This window comes from Homo sapiens, chromosome 14, assembly GCF_000001405.40.
Source record: "Homo sapiens chromosome 14, GRCh38.p14 Primary Assembly".
NCBI lineage: Eukaryota > Metazoa > Chordata > Mammalia > Primates > Hominidae > Homo > Homo sapiens.
In genome coordinates this window covers 30,914,156-30,938,025 of record NC_000014.9, presented here as the reverse complement: position 1 = coordinate 30,938,025, position 23,870 = coordinate 30,914,156, and the positions used below count along the sequence as shown (strand labels likewise).

General features: G+C 33.8%; 1 protein-coding gene across 5 annotated transcripts in view; it reads left to right on the top strand.

Annotated features, from left to right (window-relative positions):
* Positions 1–23,870, top strand: part of STRN3 (striatin 3) — a 132,576-nt gene that overhangs the window by 88,354 nt on the left and 20,352 nt on the right. For 2 of the 5 annotated variants that reach the window (NM_001083893.2, XM_047431321.1), the window contains exons 6-9: positions 1,402–1,531; positions 2,722–2,863; positions 8,715–8,825; positions 18,920–19,060. In NM_001083893.2, the coding sequence (NP_001077362.1) occupies positions 1,402–1,531; positions 2,722–2,863; positions 8,715–8,825; positions 18,920–19,060 (524 nt within the window). The remainder of the gene's footprint in view (positions 1–1,401; positions 1,532–2,721; positions 2,864–8,714; positions 8,826–18,919; positions 19,061–23,870) is intronic. The other 3 variants (XM_005267569.5, XM_005267570.5, NM_014574.4) reach the window with 3 other exon arrangements.

The following is a 23,870-nucleotide window of genomic DNA, read 5'->3' as shown; positions in this document are numbered from 1 at the left end:
TTAGGTATTATAAATAATCTAGAGATGATTTAAAGTATACTACAGGGAGAATGTGCGTAGGGACTTCAGCATGATAGGGAGGTATGTATGCTAGAACCACTGCCTCATGGAAACCAAGGGACGACTATAATCTGAATTGTATTACATGCTTAATTTGGACTAATGGAGGGAACCAGTCAGAGAGGGGGGCAAAAACCCTCCCTGAGTTTTATATTATTTTTCTTTTTGTTACCATGTACTCTTAGTAAAGACATTTAAAAACATTTGAGATAATCTAATTCAGCCCCCACAATTTACAGGTAAAGAAATTGAGGCCAAAAGATTTAAATGGTTTGGCCAAATTCAAGCAGCTGCTTAGTGGCAGAGCAGAGAATTTTCATGGTGAAAGTCTTTGTTCAGCTGAATTTTCTACTGTTTTGTTGCTGCCTTTATTGTTAGACACTTAAACAACTGTATGAAAACCTTTTTTTGTGTGTGCATAGAGAAACTCAAATTAGTTAAAAGATTTAGTTAAGTGGATAAAATATATATATTGTCCCTATTACCTGTTAAATAAGTGATTCTGCAAGACTTAAAAGTATTTATTTAATAGATTTTGAGTTATTTTTTCTAGCTAAGACAGTCTGTGAAATGGATTGGGTTGTTTTATATCTGATTTACTATAAATCTGGGCTGCTTGATAAATTATTTTTAAGTTTTTTTGTTTTCATTTTGAGACTGGGTCTTGCTCTGTCACCCAGGCTGGAATGCAGTATATAGTCATAGCTCACTGCAGCCTCAACCTCCTGGGTTCAAATAATCCTCCTATCTCAGCCTCCTGAGTAGCTGAGACTATAGGCACACACCACCATACCCAGGTAATTTTTTTTTTTGAAGATGGGTTTCACTGTGTTGCCCAGGATGGTGTTGAACTCTAGGCTCAAGCGATCTTCCCCTCTTCACCTCCCAAAGTGCTGGGATTACAGGCATGAAGCACTGTCCCTGGCCCCGCCTGATAAACTTTGGTATTTACTGTTTTAGTCCTCAAACATTTAGACCAAACTGTAAGAGGTTGTAGTTATAAGAAAGGCCAAGTTTCAGTTGCTTGTTTATGATGGTTTTATTTTGAGAACTAATAATATGTGTTTGAGTGTCTAATACTATAGGATTTTATTTTGTTGCAGTAATTACCTAAAATATTTTGGACAATGAACTTTGGAGAAAGTCAGCAGAGAATAATTACTTTTATTTCAGTTGTAGAACATAAATCTTTCAAACTTCTTTTCTTGAATAAAGCCCTCAGACAGTAGGTAGTCATTCGAATCTCTCTAGTTTTAAGAATTGATTTAAAATGGGAACCAGAAAGAAATATTAGAACCAACCATTGGAATAGTTGGATTTATCTTTTTTTCCTTCGCACAGGTCCTCTGGTGATGTTCTTGAGACGTTCAATTTCTTAGAAAATGCCGATGACAGTGATGAAGATGAGGAAAATGACATGATCGAAGGCATCCCAGAAGGAAAAGACAAACATCGGATGAATAAACATAAAGTAGGAATTACATTTTATATTCTTATTAGCTATATATTCATGTAGTTGGAATGGGAATTTTTAAGATATCTTAAGTTACATTGGGAGTGATTGATCATCTTTACTTTACATATTGGTTAAAAGTTTTATGTGGTCAGCTCTTTTTGCATTACACACATAGAGTAGGAATTGTTTGCTATATTATTCACTAAATGGGCAAGAAAAGGTCTGTATTTATAGGACTAGTCCATTGATTTTGAAACCTTTTTAAAGCAATGCCCTTTCCACTTCTGCTACAGTTGAGAATCACTGCTGAAGTCTGTCTCTTCATGTACAGCACACCAGTGATAAATTAACTGAAGTTGCAATGGGAATACTTCCACCCTGGGTGAGGGAGTAATCTGTGAATTATAAATAAGTCTCAACATTCTTGTATTTTAGTAAAGAATAATAAAAATTTACTTTTGCTCATAACCTAAGAAACAGGTTTATCTATTTGAGTGGTTTGAGGGGCTTGCTGTAGAAGCCAAAGTAGAGTTGATCGTCCATTCGTGGATTACCAAAGTAGTGTACAGCATTTCAACCATAGAAAAAAGTGGGTAGGTTTAGTTGTTGGTATTTGAGATTTTACGGTAACATAAGAAAAAAATGACAGTGTTCCACAAAAGTCTCTGGTCTACAAAATCAGTTTTCAGTCTTTTTTGACACATTCTATATGTATAACGTAGTCTATTTGGGTGAATAGAGATTTTGATCCTTTTAATTTTTTTGTTCTGGAAGGTAAAGCACTATTATAATTATCACAGCTATGAATTTAAATTAGTTACTATGCCATATCTCTATGAGTGAAGGACGAATCATGCAGTTCCCATTTATGAGGTCAATTCAAGATAACATCAGAATGCAAATAAGTGACTGGTTCTTTAATGGAGGACTAACTGTGAATGTACTGTAATTTAAGAAGTTAACTGTTCTTGATGATTAGCATTTAAACCATTTTTAGTGCCACATTACTTAGATCAATCTTGGCACAGCACTGTTGAACCATTTATCTGAAGTATAATTTGGGATTTGTGAATTACATAGGAGATCTAAAATTTTTGATCCAAGTAATTTTAAAATGGGTGTGTAAATGTAGTTATGTGACAATATTAAAGCATCCCTTTTCCATTTAGGATAAAAGTAATTCTTGGTTTATATTCTATTTACAGATAGGTAATGAAGGTTTAGCTGCTGACCTAACTGACGATCCTGATACTGAGGAAGCACTGAAAGAATTTGATTTTTTAGTGACTGCTGAAGATGGTGAAGGAGCTGGAGAAGCACGGAGTTCGGGGGATGGCACAGAATGGGGTAAGGTGATAAAGAAATACCGGGTGGGAGGAAATCTAGCCCTTAATGATGGGTTATTATTAAATATTATATGTGGAATGTGTGTATAAATATATGGTGGCAGTTAAACGGAGAGCAAGGGGAAGTGGTTTTGAATAATATCAAGGTATTTTGTACCAATTTACTTAAATTTGGTGACTAAACTATTTAATATATATGGCTTTTGGTGGATTTTGATTTTTGGAATTTGTCTGGATTTAAAGTTGAAACATTTAATTGATTTGGAAATCCAATTTCTTTCCCTTTAGTCAATTTTTAAAAATTTATGTATTCAGTTTTAAACATTCCCGTTGTTTAATTTGGTATTCTAGATTTAGGAAGATTTAACTCTCTGTATGTCCATATAGTGTTATCTGACTAATTACTAGAATTAGTAATTAGTCAGTAATTAGAAATTAGTAATTAGAAAGTAATTAGAAAGAATAAAGCTACTCATCCTGAATTATAGCTCTATATTGAGCACAATTTAATGAAGATACTAAACTTTATTGCCTATAATATTCAGTGTGCAAAATGTTAGGGCCTAAACTTTGGAAGTGGTACATTGTGCTAATAATAATTCAGCCATAACTAAGAGAAAACCATTCTCTATCTGTACATGGTTAAAAACCCCATTAGGAAGTAAAATAAGTGTAAAAATATTTTAAGGTAATAGCTGACGTCATTTATGTTTTTCCTAGTAAATACATTCATGCAATCCTCATTTAATATCAGCATGTTGTGTGGTAGGTAGAACAAAGTGTGTTTACTGAGCTATATTGGAGAAGGTTGTTATTATTATTGTTATTATTATTATTTTTTGAGACAGAGTCTCGCTCTGTCGCCAGGCTGCAATGCAGTGGTGCAATCTTGGCTCACTGCAACCTCCGTCTCCCACGTTCAAGTGATTCTCCTACCTTGGCCACCCAAGTAGCTGGGATTACAGGCGTGCACCACCACACCCAGCTACTCTTTGTATTTTTAGTAGAGGCGGGGTTTTACCTTGTTGGCCAGGATGGTCTCGATCTCTTGACATCGCGATCCGCCCGCCTTGGCCTCCCAAAGTACTGGGATTACAGGCATGAACCACCGCGCCTGGCCTGGAGAAGGTTATTTTAATACATCAAAGTTTTGCTTAATTACAAGCTAGAGGAATAATCACTAGATTTTTTTTAAAAAACAACTTTGATAGCAAACACTTGGATTTTAAAAGATGCCTCATTTATGTGTTTAAACTAAGTATTGCTAATAGCAAGAGAGAAAAAACCTAATATGTAATACATTTATTGACTATCTTGATATAAAAAATGAATCAAGTACTTAAAAGATTTGAATTTTGCCACCAATTTTCTTATTATAATTCTCAAGCATTATTTTCAGACCTTCACTTCTTTCTTCTTCTAAGTGGAAATAGAAGAGACACATTAATTCAAACATGAGAAAACTCCACAATTACTTTCTAGACTACATTTTTGTACTTACTATTTGAAAATGATTGTGGTTTAGAAGGGTACCTTTCTTCAAAATCAGCATTGCTCAGGAGAAACAGCAAAAATATTTAACTTTTCTTTTAGCTTCTCTGTGCAGACATTCAATGTTGGAAATACCTTATCTTTTTCCAGTAACTTCAAAAGTATTGTTTTTTCCTGATTGTTTTATAATTATATAATTATTTTGTAATACAAATATGTTTTAAAAAACTTAGAACCTACAAATACATGTGAAGATGAATATTTTATAAGTATATGTATATATATTTACTTATTTAGTTAACAGGATTTTGCTAAATGTTGATTTGTAATGCACACTTTTCACTTAATACATGGTTCTTCTGCATCGTTTTTTTTTTTTTTTTTTTTTTTTTATGAAACAGGGTCTCGCTTTATTGCCCAGGCTGGGGTGCCGTGGTGCAATCTTGGCTGTCTGTGACCTTCACCTCCCAGGCTCAAGGGGTCTTCCCACCTCAGTCTCCTGAATAACTGAGACCACAGGCGTGTGACCACACCTGGCTAATTTTTGCATTTTTTTTTTTTGTAGAGACGGAGTTTGGCCATGTTGCTCAGGCTAGTCTTGAACTCGTGGACTCAAGCAGTCTGCCTGCCTTGGCCTCCCAAAGTGCTGGGATTACAGGCATGAGCCACCATGCCCAGTCAGCATCATTTTTAATAGCTGGATAACATTCTGTCAATAATGTGCCATAATTTTATTTAACCAGAGCTCTATGATGCACATTTAGCTTATTTTCATTAAAAAGAAAATGATCGAAATAACTTATCAAATATCTTTTTAGCTAAATCTTGACACATATTCATTCCTGTTTCCTTAGCCTAAAGTTGCTAGAAATTTAATCATAAGGATAAAGAAAAAACTCAGGAATTTAATTTATATGGAATGGCATTATTTCTTTGATAATAGTTTCTATATTATGTACAACCGATTGGTCTTTCTGTCTGAAGACTTTTGATGGTAGAGCAGAGTTTTAAGACAACTCTCAATATTTAGCTTTTTACTATCAATATTTGACAGTACCTGTGTCTCCTGTGTAAGTGGAAGTAATCGAAAAGGTCCCTTACTTCCAGACGAGACGGAAATATTATCTTTAAAACATTTTAAGTTCTTAGTGAAGGAAAATAACTCATTTAAGTACAAGATCGTTCAAATAGTTTATTTTTGTAAGAAATGAAAACTGTCAAGTGATTTATGCAGTATTTCCAAAGTTCATCATTTCTACTCAACAAGATGTTATAGTCATTTTTTCCAAAGCAAAGAGGATGAATATGCAAACACTCTTTATATTTATGGAATTCATTTGCCAGAAATTTGAATATATTTATAAATAGGAAAGTGGTAGCTTTCAGATTTTTTTTTTCTTTTTTTTGAGACGGAGTCTCACTCTGTTACCCAGGCTGGAGTGCAATGGAACCATCTCAGCTCACTGCAACCTCCACCTCCCGGATTCAAGCGATTCTCCTGCCTCAGACTCCAGAGTAGCTGGGATTACAGGCGCATGCCACCACGCCCGGCCAGTTTTTGTATTTTTAATAGAGACAGGTTTTCACCATGTTGGCCAGGCTGGTCTTGAACTGCTGACCTCAGGTGATCCACCCGCCACGGCCTCCCAAAGTGCTGGGATTACAGGTGTGAGCCATGATGCCCAGCCCAGATTTAAATTATTGAGTAAAAGAGCACTGATTTTTTTAAAAAGTAAGTCTTGTCTTAATGAAACATACTCTAGTCCTTACTCACATTAGAGAATCTGGTTTTTATTTTGTCTATTAGCAATCAACAATTAACTTTGTATCTCTGACTTTAAATTTTTTTATCTTATGAAACCACTGCCTTTTGGCAAGCTTTCTAACGCTGTTTTCACTGTCATCTGTGTTAGATAGTCTGAGTTTAATATTAGTTATTTTTAGTTCTTCTCATTGTCAAAAGCAATAGTTGGCATTTCTATTTTGCTTTTTCTTTCATGGAGACTAGGCATTTTAAGAATGTTCATTTATTGTCTCCTATCTTTGATCTGTAGAGATTTATAGAACTACAAAATACAATTAGCACCTGAATGTTTGTACTTAAGTATAATTGATAAAGTATGAGTATTTGCATAAAGTTAGTTACAAATTTATGCTACAGTTAATAGATTTGTATAATTCATCTGCTTTGGTAATCAGAATTGCCGTAATAGAATTTCGTGTTTTTGTGGGTTTGAGCTGTCAGGAGTCAACTTTCTTACGCATATTTGTGTTTTCTTTTAGACAAAAAAGTTACTGTAAATGATTCAACGTCATTTCTTGGTATTTTTTCCCCCTAGATTTTTTAAAAAAAGGATTAATATGTAGAAGATTTTGCTGTCTCTTCCCTTTTGCTCTTACCTATTTCTTATAAGCAATATCAAACAGCTGTTACTTACCAGGCAAGTTTCAGGATGTTGTTTGTGCACATATGCATTCACCAACCTGTTCTTTGCACTGCCTAAATTTACTTTTATTTTCTAGATTTGAGATTATCTTGCAAGTAATATTTTTTTCCTTAAGCTTATCCTTTTTTTATTCCCTATGCATTTTCACTCCACTTTCTTTGTCAACTATAGTTAGAGCTATTCACAGTTTTATTCTCTCTACACAGGTCTTTTAGAAAACTATTTGGCTCTTATTAAATTTTTCTGTTCTATCTAATTTCCTATATAAACTTCATACAACTTAAGGGTTTTTTTGGTCTCTGTGAGGTTTAAAAATATTTGCTCATAATGTATCAATTTGTCTTGCTTTAAGTAGTTGAAATTAAGAATTATTAACTTCATTAAGATGAGTGCAAATGATTAATTGTTGAGATCCCGTTTTTCTTGGTATATTCAATAAGTTTACAGAAAGATTCCTGATGCAGCATAATTTTCAGGAAACTTCATGATTTGAATACATGCGAATTGAGTAAAGTGAATTTTCTCTTTACAACTGTATTACAAACAGCATTATAATTTGTGGATTTGACAGATAGATAATCTTAGGTGTAAGTTTTAGTCATGAGTAACCTAGTTTCAAGTGATTCAAGTTAGCAGATTAATTTCAAACTTAGGATTTAGCTTTTCACATACTGACCGACCACCTGTGATCATACCATCAGGGAAAAAGTTATGACAATTGTAGCAGGAAAAACTCAAGGCGCAGTAAATATTTGCATTTCCGTGTGCCATTCAAATATGAGAATTTCTTAAGTTTGGTGCATATAGCAATCTATAAAGGAAGAGAAAGGCTTTTTATGTCTACTTTATAGATTAAGTCAGTGAGGCCTAGGGTGTCTCTTATAAAACTTGTTAGCCAGAATATACTGAGTTATCAAAAACTTAACAAGTCAGAGTGTTAAACTTCCTTATGAGCTGTTTTAAAACCACACAAAGGAAGGAAAAATCCTCAATATTTAAAATAATTCTCAAAGACTTAATTATTTTTATGCTGCCTCTTTTTAGTGCTGTTTTTCCTCTAGTTGACTATGAGTAAATTTTTCTCAGTCACAAGTATTTAGTTAAATACAGATTTATTATTCAGCTAAAATAGCTGATGTAGCTTTAGCAGTTGTACAGCAATGTATGTTTTCACTTCTCCATGCTGATCACTAGTTTTATCCTGAAAAAAAATCAATTCTAAAAAAATTCTTCAGTGGAATTTGAGTTTTTTTTTTTTTTTTTTTTTTTTTGCTAATCTTAGTTGTAGACCAATGGAAGAAGGTAATGAGATGTTGAACTATTTGGGTGGGTGGGGCAGAGGTGGGACTCTGAATGCTTTGTATGGATTATTCAAGACATTGTATTTTTGAACTATATGTATTATATTGGACTAGAATGCCTCTCCATTAGTACAGTTAATCCTGTGCATGCAGAATCAGTATGACAGAAGGTGCATGAATATTTTCATCAATGAAACAGCACTTACCTTTCTAGCTTGCACTTTTCCGAGTAGTTCGCATGTATTTCATTCATTTGCTTTTATGATGCTGGCTGAATAATTTTTTATTAACATTTTTATAAAGATGCAGTGATCTATTTTTATAACATTAGATTTCTAATGTCAGTCTATTGAATGAATGATAACCTTCAAATTTGTGGTTCATGAAAATGAAGCACCATTTAACTGTTGATATTAAATGTTTAGAAACTTATGACATGGGCATTTAGAGTTTGAGTTGTGAATACCAGAACTGAGACTGCACCTTTAAAGTATTTTGAGTATATGCTATTAGTACATTTTATTATGATTATGTAAAGCTATAACAGTTTACTGCCAACAGCTTGCATTGCCAACTGCTGATTTTTTTTCTTTTAATAATATGCTGCATGTAGATAAAGATGACCTCTCCCCAACTGCTGAGGTTTGGGATGTAGACCAGGGACTAATAAGTAAACTGAAGGAACAGTACAAGAAGGAACGAAAGGGGAAGAAAGGGGTGAAGAGTAAGTGCAGATTCTGACTATTATAATTTTTGTATACCAATAATTGAGAAAAAAGTTCTTCAATTCTGTTTCTTTGTGTAACTTAATTTTTTGTTTCATAAAGGGGGCAACTAACTTTAAACTTTGTCTGTTGTATAATTGAAATTTGTTTGTATATAATTTAGGATGTGTTATTGATCAAGTAGAAAATCATTTAAAATATATGAGAAGGGTAAAGGAAAGATTTTGAGGATTGTTTTTAAGCTTTAAAAACTTTACCAAATTGTTTGGAATATTGGCATTGGAATAAAAAATAAAGATTTTTCAAAAGGGAGAAAAGTATAAATTTCTCCATTTTTGATACATAGAGTATAGCTATAAACAACTCATATCCAGGTTACATTTCTTAGTTTGGGAATCCTTACCTACAGTGAATAGGAAAGCCCTTTCTGTAGTTTCTGCTTTCTGGTCTTAATCCAACTACTAACAACAACAATAGCAAAAAGAATCTCTTGGGTAGTATTTTTTGGCTACTGTGGTGAAGGAAACCAGAAGTGGGAGGTTAGTGGTGGCAGTAGGGTTTGTTTAGTCATTGCTGGGTGTCTTGGTGCCTGGATGTATTTTTCACTATGTTGTATATTAATCAATTTACTTATTAAAATGTAAATCTGCTATAGTACCTCTCTCAAAGTAGCAATTCATTTCCATTTGGTGAAGCAAACTTAAAAGTTGCCACATAAAAATATCTTCAGATCTATGACTATTAACTGGAGAGACTTGAAACTTATTTTTGGGACTCATTTGAACTAGCCAGTGACCCCTGCTTGTCTAACATTTTGACTATATAAAGGAGAAAATAGTGTGAGAAAAAGGCAAAAGCAATATAGACATTCTTTTGTGTTTCTTTGGTGACAAATACATTCATATATTAAATGGTAGGTGTAATGGAAACGTGTGCGAGTTTCTTTCAGTAAAACCTTTTTGAGTGATTTCATTTACTGTGGAGGCTAATAAGTGAAGTTTTGGGGGTTTCACCTGTTACACAATTTTCTTTTCTAACTTTATGATAGCTTTTGTTATTGCATGTGAATTAAAAGACTATAGAGTGAACTGCTTATTGTATTTAAAAACATTTGATACTGGGCTGGGGTTGTGTTTAGTTCTAACATCATTTACCTATAATGCAAGCATGCTGAGTATAAAAGTACATTTGCATGATTGACTATGTTAGAATAGACAAAATGACATTAGAATTTTAGGGTTTAATTTTTTTTTTTTTTTTTTTTTTTTTGACGGAGTCTCGCTCTGTCGCCCTGGCTGGAGTGCAGCGGTGCAATCTCGGCTCACTGCAACCTCTGCCTCCCGGGTTCAAGCAATTCTTCGGCCTCAGTCTCCTGAGTAGCTGGGACTATAGTATAGGCACGTGCCACCATGCCTGGCTAATTTTTTATATTTTTAGTAGAGACGGAGATTTACTGCGTTAGCCAGGATGGTCTCAATCTCCTGACATTGTCGTAATCTGCCTGCCTTGGCCTCCCAAAGTGCTGGGATTACAGGCGTGAGCCACTATGCCTGGCCTAGGGTTTAATTTTTTTTTTTTTAAAGAAATAAAGTAGCTTATTTTACTAGTGGATTGCTTATTTTATATATAGTATCATAAACTGACTTAATCTGCTGAAGATTTCTTTTGAAATGTTAGATAATGTTGCTTCTAATTTAAAATAGAAGTATTCCATTTTCCCCCTCTGATAGACTGTGACTAGACCTATATCTTTTTGAGGTCTACAAATAAGATGTAAGTCAAGGTCTTTTTTAGTTCTTGCTTTTAAACTTTTCTTAAAATTTTTTTTTTAATTAAAAAAAGTATGTTTAAGAAATATTAGAAACAGATAAACTAAAAAATTAAACAAAATTTATTTTTTTTAGAACCCAGGTTGGAGTGCAGTAGTGTAAATCATAGCTCACTGTAGCCTCAAACTCTCCTGTCCTCAAGATATCCTCCCACCTCAGCCTCCTGAGTAGCTGGGACTATAGGCACGTGCCACCACACCTGGCTAATATTTTATTTTTAAAAATTTTTTGTAGAGATGGGGTTTCTCTGTATTGCCCAAGCTGGTCTCGAACTCTTGGCCTCAGGCCATTCTTCCACCTCAGCTTTTCAGAGTGTTAAGATTATAGGCACGAGCCACCGTGCTTGACCTTATGTTTTTTTTTTAATTGGACCTTAGTACACACAATATTATAATTTGCCTACTACCATCATAGAAAACATCATTTTATGTCAACAAATAATTCCTTTATATATGTTTGTATTTTTTCTTCTTTCTAAACAACAGAGAGGAACTCAGTATATGAAATGGATGAAAGTGGACTTCTTTGACTGAATCAGTACTGGAGACCCCAAATTCATAACTTAAGGCTTTCATGTCTCAATAACATCTTACTCTCTAGATAGGTATTCTGTTATTCAGCCCATTCCACTTTAATTTTGATTTCATATCTGTTTTTTCAAAAAAATGAATTTTGCTTATATAATCATAAAAATAACACATGCTTGTTATTCAGATAATATAAGAAGTATTATAAGAAGTACTTATAAGAAGTAATATAAGATTCAGATAATATAAGAAGTATTATAAGAAGTACTTATAAGAAGTAATTATAAGAAGTATTATAAGAAGTAATATAAGAAGTAGGAATATAAAGAAAAACTATAAAAATCACCTGCAATCCTACCACTCAGAGACTATTTATTTGGCACATATTCATCCATCTTTTCTTAAAAGTCTTTATACGTAAAACCTCCTTTTTAATATTTTAACTAGAATATTATTGTTGTAATTTAACTCATTATTTCTTAATGTTTCATAGTCATTTAAAATATAATTTTTGTGTATTTAACTTAGCTTCCATTAGTTAAACCTATAGATTTGTTTCTAATTTTTAAACATTTTTGTAAATATTACTGTCTTTGAGGCTACTAATGTAAGTAGATCCAGGGATAAGGTCTTTAGCAAAGTGTCTCAGGAAAGAGAATTCAGAAATAAATTATGTTTCTTTTTTATACTTCCTTTATGAAGGTTTATAAATTGAAAACTTTTCACTCTTTAATACAGAATTCAGTGTGAAAATGTTGGCTCTGAATCCTTGCCGTGAAATTAGAGTTTAAGAAAATAAAAACTTTCTTTTTTTTTCTGTTTATGGATCACAAACTTCTAATGATCTTAATTCAAATAGCTCATCATGTTAATACTAAGATATAATTTTACATGAAAAGGTAATTCATGAATTTCTTAGCATTTTTATCTAGTCCATGTTATTATTCTGATGTTCTCCTTACGTAGCTTTGTACAAGTTAGAATAATTCATTATCTGTAGCCTTTTGATTTCTTTAAAAAAATTTTTGCTTATAAATGACACATAATTATAAATATTTATGGGACACAGTGTGACATTTTAATACATTTAAACATTGAATAATAAAAATCAGAGTAGTTAGCATATTCATCATTTCTTTGTGGTTACAGCACTCATATCCTTTTTTTCTAGCTATCTTGAAATATAGAATACGTTATCATTAGCTGTAGTCACCCTACTGTGTAATTGAACCAGAACTTATTCTACCTATGTAAATGTAAATTTGTATACATTTACCAACCTTGATTTTTTTTCTTTATTCCAGAATTTGTTAATAAGTCACACCTACTGAATTAGCATAAGCTTCTACAGATTTTTCACTGCAGCTTCTTAGAGGGAAGAAAACTATTTGCTAACTTTACCATATGGAATCAGCAGATGTAATCCAGTCTTTTTTCTTTTTTTTTGGAAGGGAAAGAGAAAAATGGCAAGAATACTGACTTCTTAACTTTGTAAAGACCCATTCAAGATTTGACTTTTAAATGCTAAGTTAAAAGTGCTAAGTTAAAGTTTCTGTGTCTCCCAACTCGTTCACTCCATCTCACCCTTCTTTTTTTTACCCCCCTGCCCGCCCCCTCCCCCCAGCAAGAGGAAAAGGGGTTAAAAGTGACAGCCTTGTCTTGGAACGTAGACCCACTTCAGTATTTCTTTCTTACTAAGTGAGATATACAATATAATTGAGATGCACTTTATCTTATTAGTACTCTAAGAGTCAGTACCTTGAAACTAAGAAACTAAAGAGGCTTGATGCAGTTATTTTGGTCTCAGGCTTCAAAGGGTTAAGCTTTCTTTTCCTTTTAACTTTTTATTTTGACATAATTTCTGACTTAAGAAAATTTTGTGAGAATAGTACAGAGAATTCCATATACTTTTCACCCAGGTTACCCACCAAATGTTAACACTTTACCACACTTGCTTTTCCCTTTCCTTTCTGTAAATATATTCTTTTTTATTTTGAGACAGGCTGTCACTCTGCTGCCTCGGATGGAGTACAGTAGCACATTGTAGCTCACTGCAACCTCAAACTCCTGAGCTCAAGCAATCTTTCCACTCCCGCCTTGCTGGGACCACAGGTGTGCACCACTATGCCTGGCTAATTTTTACATTTTTTAATAGACAGGATCTCTGTATGTTGCCCAGGCGGATCTCAAACTCCTGGCCTCAACTGATCATCTCACCTCAACCTCCAAAAGCATTAAGATTTCAAGCATGAGGCTGGGTGCAGTGGTTCATGCATGTAATCCCAGCACTTTGGGAGGCTGAGGCGGGCAGATCACCTGAGGTCAAGAGTTTGAGATCAGCCTGGCCAACATGGTGAGACCTTGTCTCTACTAAAAATACAAAAAAAATTAGCTGGGCGTGGTGGCTCATGCCTGTAGTCCCAGCTACTTGGGGAGGCTGAGGCAGGAGAATCGCTTGAACCCAGGAGACGGAGGTTGCAGTGAGTCAGGATCGCGCCACTGCACTCCAGCCTGGGCGACAGAGGGAGACCATCTCAAAAAAAAAAAAAAAAAAAAGATTTAAGGCATGAGCCATTGTACCTGGCCATGTTTTTTTTTTGTTGTTTTTTGTTTTTTTGTTTTTTTTTTTTTGAGTAGTTCAGAAAACTAAGTTGTAGACATGTTGCTCTTTAAATATATTAGTATATATTTAAACAAAGATACTCTCATGTATGACCACAGTACAGTCATGAAAATCAAGAAGTAAGTGTTGATGCAATACTAATATCTAAGCTAAAACTCAGTTTTCTTTCACTTTTTAATAATTTCTATGTTTTCTGTAATTTGGGAGGAGCTTGAATTAATCTTTTGTAAAAATTTTGGGCTGGTAGCATTTTTCTAACTTTTTAAGGTCTCCATTTGTGCTGTATTTTATATCTTAGTAAAAACATATAAATCAATGATTAAAAATCACAGTATGAACGAAGCATCTGAAATATGGAGGCTTTAGTTAGAATATGAGAGAGCAGCTAAAAATCTTTTAAGACTTTCTTTGATATTTGTTACTCTTTTTCAACATGGACAATTTAAACTGTGGATTATAATAATGTATTTTCCTTTGATAGGAGCTGTTATTCTTATAGCCTGTTGTTACTCTTAAGCTATATTATACCTATAAAATTTAAACTTACCAAGAAAAGATTATTTCATTTCCTTTCTTGAAAAGATGTATAGGCTTTCCCCATTTTAAAAATTCATATTTGGGGAATATGTATGTTTGCATTCCTGGTTCTTAGTGAGTGGACTTATCTTAATTTTCCTAATTATTCTCGTTTATCTTAACTTTTCTGTCTTTTCTATATATGGAATATGACTTTTTTGCCATTTCCCTTCTCTCCGTTACTGGTGTTGCAGAATTGCTATGCACCTTCTGGCCTGATTATCAATACATTTGAAAAGGGGGAAGTCTTGTAACTTTTTCAACATTTCTTTTAATATAAATCATAAGTGAGCTCCCCCAAGTCATTTTCTAATTTTTATTTTTAAAGTTTTGTATTAATATTTGTCATTTACTATTCCAGATCCAAGAAAACATGTTGTCACCAGGAAATACAGTTGTTTAAAGTGTGACTTGAAGCCAAATATCCAAAATTAGGTATTTGAATACATTTAAGAAGAACTTACTCTTAAGTAGGCTTTTAAAAACACCTTTGCTCACACTACAAATTATCTGTTATGATTAAGCTACTTCCGTTTAGCACATAGTACTAATTCGAAGAGCCCACAAAATAGTTATATTCTCTCTCCTCCCTCAAAGACAAAAACAAAATTGTTTCATAGCAAAGAGATGTTATTTTCAACTAGGCATGTGGTTTTATGTTACTGGCTTTAATTTCATTCTTTAAAAACAAACATTCATGTCCTTTAACTCGGGATTTTTTTCTTTCAAGAAAATAACTTAGGTATTTTGCCTAGGATCAGAATGTATCAGATTGATACTCTAATCAGTGCACTTTTTAAAACCGAAGAGTCACTTTGCAGCTGAAGTTATTTTTTCTTATTATTGTGATCTCATATTTATTTAAGACAACAATTGTCTTAAATAAATTAAATAAAGCTGTGAAAGCTTTAATTATGATAGAAAATAGAACAGATCTAGCAAACATGACTTAACTAAATTTTTGTGCTAAAATAAGCGTATCTTTTCCAGATTGTTTGCCTGCTAACAGTTAAGCTTCAGAATATAAAAGTTGATCAACAAAGGGAGGGCTCATTTGAGAAAGGGGAAATGTTAGATTTGTTCAAAAGTACTATTTTACTTACAGTTATATAGGGCGTAGGAAGATAAATTTCATGGCATGAGTATGTGTGTTTGAGCGGAATTTGAAAATGTAACAGTAGTCTATAGTTTGGCTTACACGTGGCATAATTAGTATGTTTTTCATTGTGTCAGTCTAGAGGATTATGCATTTATATAGGACTTTGTATTTGTTAAGAGGTAGGTGGGTTGTATTCATAGTAGTAGAAAAGTTTTTCTAGCTGGGCATGGTGGCTCATGCCTGCAATCCTAGCACTTTGGGATGCTTAGGAGAGAGGATTGCTTGACCCCAGGAGCTCAATACCAGGCTAGGCAGCATGGTGAGACCATCTCTACAAAAATAAAAAATACAAAAATTAGCTGAGTGTGGTAGTGCATGCCTGTGGTCCCAGCTACTCTGGAGACTGAGGTAGGTGGATTGCCTGAGCCTAAGAGTTCAAGACCAGCCTGGACAACATGGTGAGACCCTGTCTCTACAAAATTTTTTTTTAAATTAGCCAAGCTTGATGGTACGTGCCTGTGGTCCCAGCTACTGGGCAGGCTGAGGCGGAAGGATCACTTGAATCCAGGAGGTCAAGAGCCAAGGAGATCAAGGCTGTAGAGAGCCATGTTTGTGTCACTGCATTCTAGCCTGGGTGACAGGGCAAGACCTTGTCTCACAAATAATAATAAAAATTAAAAAATAAATAAAAGTTTTTCTTGCCATAAGAATTAGAAAAGGTATTTGTACTTCTATAAATTTCAGTTTTTATTTAATTAGTGCTTAATGGGCCTTCAATATGCCTTTACATATTGGTATTAATATTGTCTAGTATCCTGTTATACTACTACAGTTTTCTTATTGCTGATAAGACTTCAGGTTTTTTATTTGAAATTGTTTCATTGCATTTATTATATTTAGAATATTGGATAGGTTTAGAAAGAAAACAAAGACATTAAATTTGCAGTTGAAAGATGCTCTGCACAATAGAGTAAAGACTACTACTAAATGAAATCTGCTTTCATCTTTTGGCACCTTTTGAGAAACTAGGATTAGAGCAGGGAAGTTGCATCATTTCCTCAACTTGGCACTGTGTCACACTGAAGCTATCAGGCTATAGTATGTAAATAATATTATATAATTTGGGATCGTCAGTTTGAACAGTAGGTTCCATAATATCTCCTAATTTCTTTCCCTTCTATATCTCCCAGTTCATGTGTACAGAAGATTTTAACTTTACATTATCTGTAACAAAACTTTGTCAAGCCTTTATTATGTTTCACATTAACTATCATATAATTAAATTATTTACAAGGTAGTATTTAATAAAGTCATTTTATGTTACACACAAATAAGAGAACATTGAAAGATCAACAAAAGCTTTACAGAAGAGATGGAACTGGTGTGGAGGAATGGGTAGAATTTGGATAGGCTGAGGTGCATGTTAGAAGATAAGGAAGTGTGTGTGTGTGTGTGTGTGTGTGTGTGTGTGTGTATATGTATGTGTAGAAAGCCTTCTCACCTTTCTGAGAATGGGTGAGGATAAATATGACAAAATACTGCAGAAGTAACCTCAGTGAACACTGAAACTATGTGGAAATTGCTTTGACTGGAAAATGAAGGGAGTTTGTATTGTGGATCATTAAAAGATAAGATGGGGTAGAAAAAATAGGATCAGATCATGAAGCACATGAAAGGTTAAGTACATGATTTTAGTTAACTTTGATCCAAAGAGTGTGGAAGTGCTGCTACTTGTGGTTTCTGAGTGAAGGGAGATATAATAAATGTGATAATTTTGGAAAATTAATTTAGTTGTAGTATATAAATGTGATTGAAGGTAAATGGAGCTTGGAGATAGAAAAACCAATTAGGAGTCTGTTGTAGTAATTCATAAGATTGAAAGCCTTGATTAAAGTCAATAGAGAGATAAACTTGGAGAATACTTTAAAGGGAGATTCTTTTTTAAAACCAGCCCCCACCGTTTTATAATTTTACAAGTTGAAGAAGAATTAAGATGTGGTTGCAAAATTTTAGGAAGCGAAATTAAATAAATGGTGGTGGTAGTCATTTAAGTGGCAAGGTTACAAAAGGGAGCTATTTTGTGAGAAAGAATAATGTTTATGTTCTTTTACGTTGAATGTAACTGGTGGTTGGACATCCAGTAGACAGTTTTTTGTTTATTGGAGAATTTGTTTACAGTCATTTCTCTGTGGGGGGGAAATCCTCAGGTAACACTGAGTTTCTTCATTATTATTAGTTAGGAAATTCAGACTACGTAACATATTACCTAATCCAGAAGTAAAATTGTTTAAGCATTTCTAAGAAATTAGAAATTACTGTAAAATAGGACCAATAAATGTATAAAAGTCCACCTATTTCCACTAAGTTTTACCATCTTAACTGCCAGGCATTTTGTTAAGGATACATAGATGCGTAATAGTTCTTAGAGTTACTTACACTCAAATAGCCACAGTGAACTTAATATATAGCAGTCGGATTCTTCCATTAATGTTGATGTTAGTAAATATAACGTCATAATGTTTGACCTTGGACTTACCTATTTTATTTTTTTAAACTTATGTAGATTATAAAGCATTGTCTTTTCAAAGTTTTTTTCTGACATTCTTAAAACTTATTTTCTTTCAAAATATATGGTTCAAAATAAATAATTCTGCTATTTCTAAAGTTCAGAGTTAAAGAATATTCCACAATGGTACAGAAGCTTTTGAGTTTTATATATTTTGGCCTGAATTATCCAGGCAACAGCCAAAATTCTTCCCTTATATTTATGGCTTATGACAGTGCTGACTTTTCATATCATTATGAGAAACTCAGAGATCTATCTCATGGATAAATCAGGTTTTTCAAATTTGGGAAAAATGAAAAAATTTTTGAAAGAAATTGGGGTTGATTTGTTAATGACAAATTTGTACTAACATGGCAGGAAAATATCCATGGAAACACCAGGTAAAGTTAATTGTTTGTTGCACCCTCATAAAAATTACTCGTACTTATTCCTTTGTTAAGTTTTTAAAACAGTGAATTATGTTGAAAAGCCCTTGTTTTATTCTTTACACTGGTAAATGTTAACCTTAAACACCAAAATTTTCCTTTGTTTTAATGATACCTTCTGTGTCTGTGAGCTTACAGAACTTTAAAGAACTCTCTAAAGTATTCTGTGGAGATATATATATATATATATATCTCTTTAGAGAGAGACATATATGTAATATAGATATGTATCTTTATATATATCTCTCTCTCCACAGAAATAGTAAATATTTAAACTCAATGTGTTTTGGGGGATGGTATGGAAAATGGAAGACATCTTTAATTTTCTGATATTTTAATAACTGGGACTTCTTAATAGTCTGTTTTGTTAATAAATTGGTTTTAAAGGCTGCCGGAAAGTCAAGCGGTAGCCATTAAATGAACCTCTACTGCTGACATTAATTTACAGGGGCCAACAGGACAAAACTCTACGACATGATAGCTGATCTGGGAGATGATGAGCTGCCCCACATCCCTTCAGGAATCATTAATCAGTCTAGGTCAGCCTCTACTAGAATGACTGATCATGAAGGTGCAAGAGCAGAGGAAGGTACAAAATTTAGCTACCATGTTTATTTACATTTCAGAAGACCTTAAATCCAAATCACATCTTAATGCAACTAGGCTACTGTTATAAAATGCTGATGATCATTTTATATGATCTTTAGAGAAGGTGTTGGGCAAGCTCTTGATGTAACTAATTTAGGGATTTTGACATTTCTGGTTTCTATTTCTTTATATTTTGTTTTTGTTTTTAATGTGAGGAGTTGTTGTTTCCATCATAGGTGAATTCAGAGTCTTTTCTTAAATCTAATTTTAGCTACAGATCCAGTAATGGGAAAATAGTAATTTATAAAAACAAACTTAAAATAATACATATGGAAAAAACTACTCATTTTGTCTTATTGCTTAAATTTAGGAACTAATAGTAATTACCACTTACTAGAAGACAACTATGGTGCCAGGCATTGTGCTTGGAACCTTTTTTTTTTTCTTTTTTTTTCCTTGAGACAGAGTCTCACTCTGTCTCCCAGGCTGGAGTGCAGTGGCATGATCTCGGCTCACTGCAACCTCCGCCTCCTGGGGTCAAGCGAGTCTCCTGCCTCAGCCTCCCAAGTAGCTGGGACTATAGGCGCACACCACCATTCCCCGGCCAATTTTTTGTATTTTTAGTAGAGACAGAATATTACCATGTTGGCCAGGCTGGTCTCGAACTCCTGACCTCAAGTGATCTGCCTACCTTGGCTCCCAAGGCGCTGGGATTACAGGTGTGAGCCACAGTGCCCAATCTGTTACATTAAATATATATTACTTCAAAAAATATATGTAACTGTTACCTAAATTAATCATTTGAGAATAAGGCAGCATCATTATTCTTTAACTTGGTAGCAAGTATACGCTACCTAGTAATGAATTTTATAAAATTTGCCTAAACCAGAAATGTGTAGGAAATGAAAGTACTACTTAAACATTTTTTCCAAAATTGATTTTAGCCGAAGATATATGGGTATACTTGAATCATGTATAACTCTAAGTCTAGATATTTATAAGTATTAAATCTGAATTTTTAACCAAAGATTATTGTGACATATGAGATACAGTAATTTGGCATATGTATTAAGTTTAATTGATGTTATTGCCTTTGCTCTGTAAAGGGGATTTGTTTGATGTCCCAGTCAAAAAATTTTAAATACATCTTGTTCCCTTTTAAGATTTCCCTAGTGGCACAGTTTCCTTACAGTTAAATAATTTTGCATTTTTTCCCTCTCATAATTTACCATTTACTTCACTCACCTTAAAAAAAATCACTAAAGTAACAAAATCATTCAAAACAAAATGAATGAAAAATAAAATAGTGTCTGTTAATTTTTTCAGATCTCATTTCCACTATTGAGATATATTCCTGTTTTACTTTAGAAGTATTTTCTAAAATACACATAGCAACTCCTTTTTTTTTTTTTAATTTTATGCATTTAGTGGTGATTTTGCTTCGTTTTTGGTCTGTTTTGCCAAATATGCATAGTACAACTTGCTAAAATTTTTGTAATTAATGTACATTTAAAGTGCAGGTTTTGCAATTTAAGGCAAAGCCACGTTAGCAATGTGGACCCTTTTAAATGTTTCAAACCAATGACTTAACGGAAAAAGCCAGTCAAGGCACACTCTACACAAAAACCAACTTAGAACTCTCTATGTGTGTTTGTTTATGTGTTATGTGTGTGTTTTAAAGAAAGAATATAGGTCAGTGATCTGTTTCTTGATGCTGGTAGGAGGGCGAGGGGAGAGATTTGATAAGTGTGAACTTCATTACAGTTTTTGAAGTATCGATCTTCCTGGAATTTGTTATTTAAAGAGGTGTGAGTTTGACTTCAAGCTAAGAAGGCAGCTTTGGAGTATACAGTCTCCTTATTTTCAGTGGCAGTCCCCAACTTCCTTCTTTACTTTTGAAGTCCATGTCCTACCTCATTTTATAAAGAACAAATGTCTGTTTTCTAGGAGTGGAACTTCAACATTACAATCTTCTAGACTATTGCTGCTAAAGACTTGAGACCTACCATGTTGCCACTGGTATAAATGGAATCTGTTACCTGGACTAAGTTCTTGGGAAAAAGAGTTCAATATGCGAGCTACAGGTTTCCTTCATCATAAGTGTCCATCAAAAGGAAGATTAGTTACAAAAGTCTGAAAAAGACCTTGTATTTTATAGACCCGTTATACTAGTATTGTTATCTTACTTGATGAAATCTCTTAGGCCTCCTAAATTTCCATCATTAAATTAAAAACTAGGGCAGGCATAGTAGCTCATGCCTGTAATTCCAGCACTTTGGGAGCCCAAGGCAGGAGGATCACTTGAGCCCAGGAATTCAAGACCAGCCTGGGCAACATAGCAAACTCTGTCTCTATTAGAAAAAAAAAGAAGATATTAAAACTACTTTTTTTAGGCCGGGCGCGGTGGCTCACACCTGTAATCCCAGCACTTTGGGAGGCCGAGACTGGTGGATCACGAGGTCAGGAGATCGAGACCATCCTGGCTAACACGGTGAAACCCTGTCTCTACTAAAAATACAAAAAAATTAGCTGGGCGTGGTGGCGGGCGCCTGTAGTCCCAGCTATTCAGGAGGTTGAGGCAGGAGAATGGCGTGAACCTGGGAGGCAGAGCTTGCAGTGAGCCGAGATCGCGCCACTGCACTCCAGCCAGGGCGACAGAGCAAGACTTCAAAAAAAAAAAAAACCAAAAAAACTACTTGTTTAAATAATTACATTTTTCTTTGAATTACTAATGACATTTTTATATTATGGGTAATTATATTACCATTAATAAAATGAATAGGATAGAAATTAATTCCCTCTGCAGGGAAATAAGGGCAAACAGATGAGTAGCTGCTGTGATTACCATATGCCACAGTGATGGGTAATATGGAAAGCAGAGGTAGTAGTGTAAAAGAATTTTTGCACATATATGTGTAAATAGTGATTAAGCAGAATAGCTTGCAATAGGTACATAAATATGTCATAAAATATATGTGTGTATATAGAGAAAAAGGACAGAAATGTGGTCATATGATTAATTAGAAATGAGTATAATACTAATTTTTTGTTAAGTACAATTAAGCCAAAACTCGAGTAAAACTAATGTCCAGACACTTCCCTTCACATGCTCCTAAATTGGTCTGGCTGATCAGAGATAGTCTTGCAAAATCATTTGTTACGTTAAAGTTATTTTATTGGGCTTTTGAGATTTGTGTCAGTGAATGTTTGTATAATTGTGAGTGGGAGGAACTGTGGCATTTTGTTCTGACTTCTCTTAGAAACAAATTCCCTGAGCTTAAAGTAAAAATATTTCTTTGTCTAGAGAAAAATGCTTTGAGTAAATATTATATAATGACTTTTATATAATTATCCTTAAACATAAGTTTAAATTATTGATTTTATAGTTTTTAGCTGCTTCTGGTATTGCCAATAACTGCATACTAATAATTGGTAGGAAAAGATCAAAAGATCAATGCTACAGATTATTCAGATTCAATAAGTGTCATCATTGAAAGATTAAATACTACTTAATATCTCTATATATTTTCTGTCAGGTGCTTTCAGATTCATTTTAGATCAAGTAACTGAATCAGAGCTGCATTTTAGAGCCCTATTTGAGTCAGATTATATAGCTTATTTTGATAGGATAAAATAATAAAATAACAAGATATTCTAAGTACAGTTGAATTTTATTTTGCCATAGTATATATATGAATTGTGTCTTCTCAGAATTATTTCCAGTAGTTTAGTGATGACTGTCAAGTTTCATTACACCTGTTGTGTTTCCTGTAGCATATTTATATCATTTTTCATGGGAATTTTTTTAAAATTGATAATCAGCTTGATTTTTTGTATAATGTGTCCCTTTTAAATTTGCTCATGAATTTTAAGTGTGTTTTGATATATTGAGTTTTATATTATGATTTGAGTATTTCTCCCTTGTTATCTTAATGTTAAAATTTTGCTTTCAAAGCATATTTGAAATGATATTGAAGGTTGTTGCTTAAACTATGACTGTTACAACAAAATATTTAGATAATAGTCATTCAATTATGGCAGAGTTTAATTGGTCAGTAGTATGTATAGAAAGGAAAACGCATTTTAAATAATTGGAACTGTTAATATTAACATGAAAAGCTGTAATAATGCACATGATATAGTTGAGAAAACTAAGTGAAGCTCAACCTGAGTTTAGTTTGAAATTGAAATGGCAAATCTGATCAGAAATTAAAGCTCTGTGGTCAAGATTACTTGCTTCATTTTAGAGTGTCATGGTAACTAGAATGGGACATTAAAATAAAAGTCATAGTCAAAGCTTTAAAGCTGGAAGACAGGCTGGGCGCGGTGGCTCACGCCTGTAATCCCAGCACTTTGGGAGGCCGAGGCAGGTGGATCACTTGAGGTCAGGAGTCAAGACCAGCCTGGCCAACATGGTGAAAGCCCATCTCTACTAAAAACAGAAAAATTAGCCGGGCGTGGTGGCGGGCGCCTGTAATCCCAGCTACTTGGGAGACCGAGACAGGAGAATTGCTTGAACCTAGGAGGTGGAGGTTGCAGTGAACCGAGATCGCACCACTGCACTCCAGCCTGGGCGACAGAGCAAGACTGTGTCTCTAAATAAATAAATAAATAAAGCTGGAAGACATTCTGAAGACCACGTGGATTAACCTTTTATAGAAAGGAAACTGACATTGTTGGTGGAAGAATTTTTTCCTAGACCATTGCTGTTACTAAAGGAATCTGAACAATTAAAGCTTCATTCTAGTGAACTGATATAGTATATAGCTGACTGTAAACCATTTACATTTCAATGTTTGTACTAGTTTTTA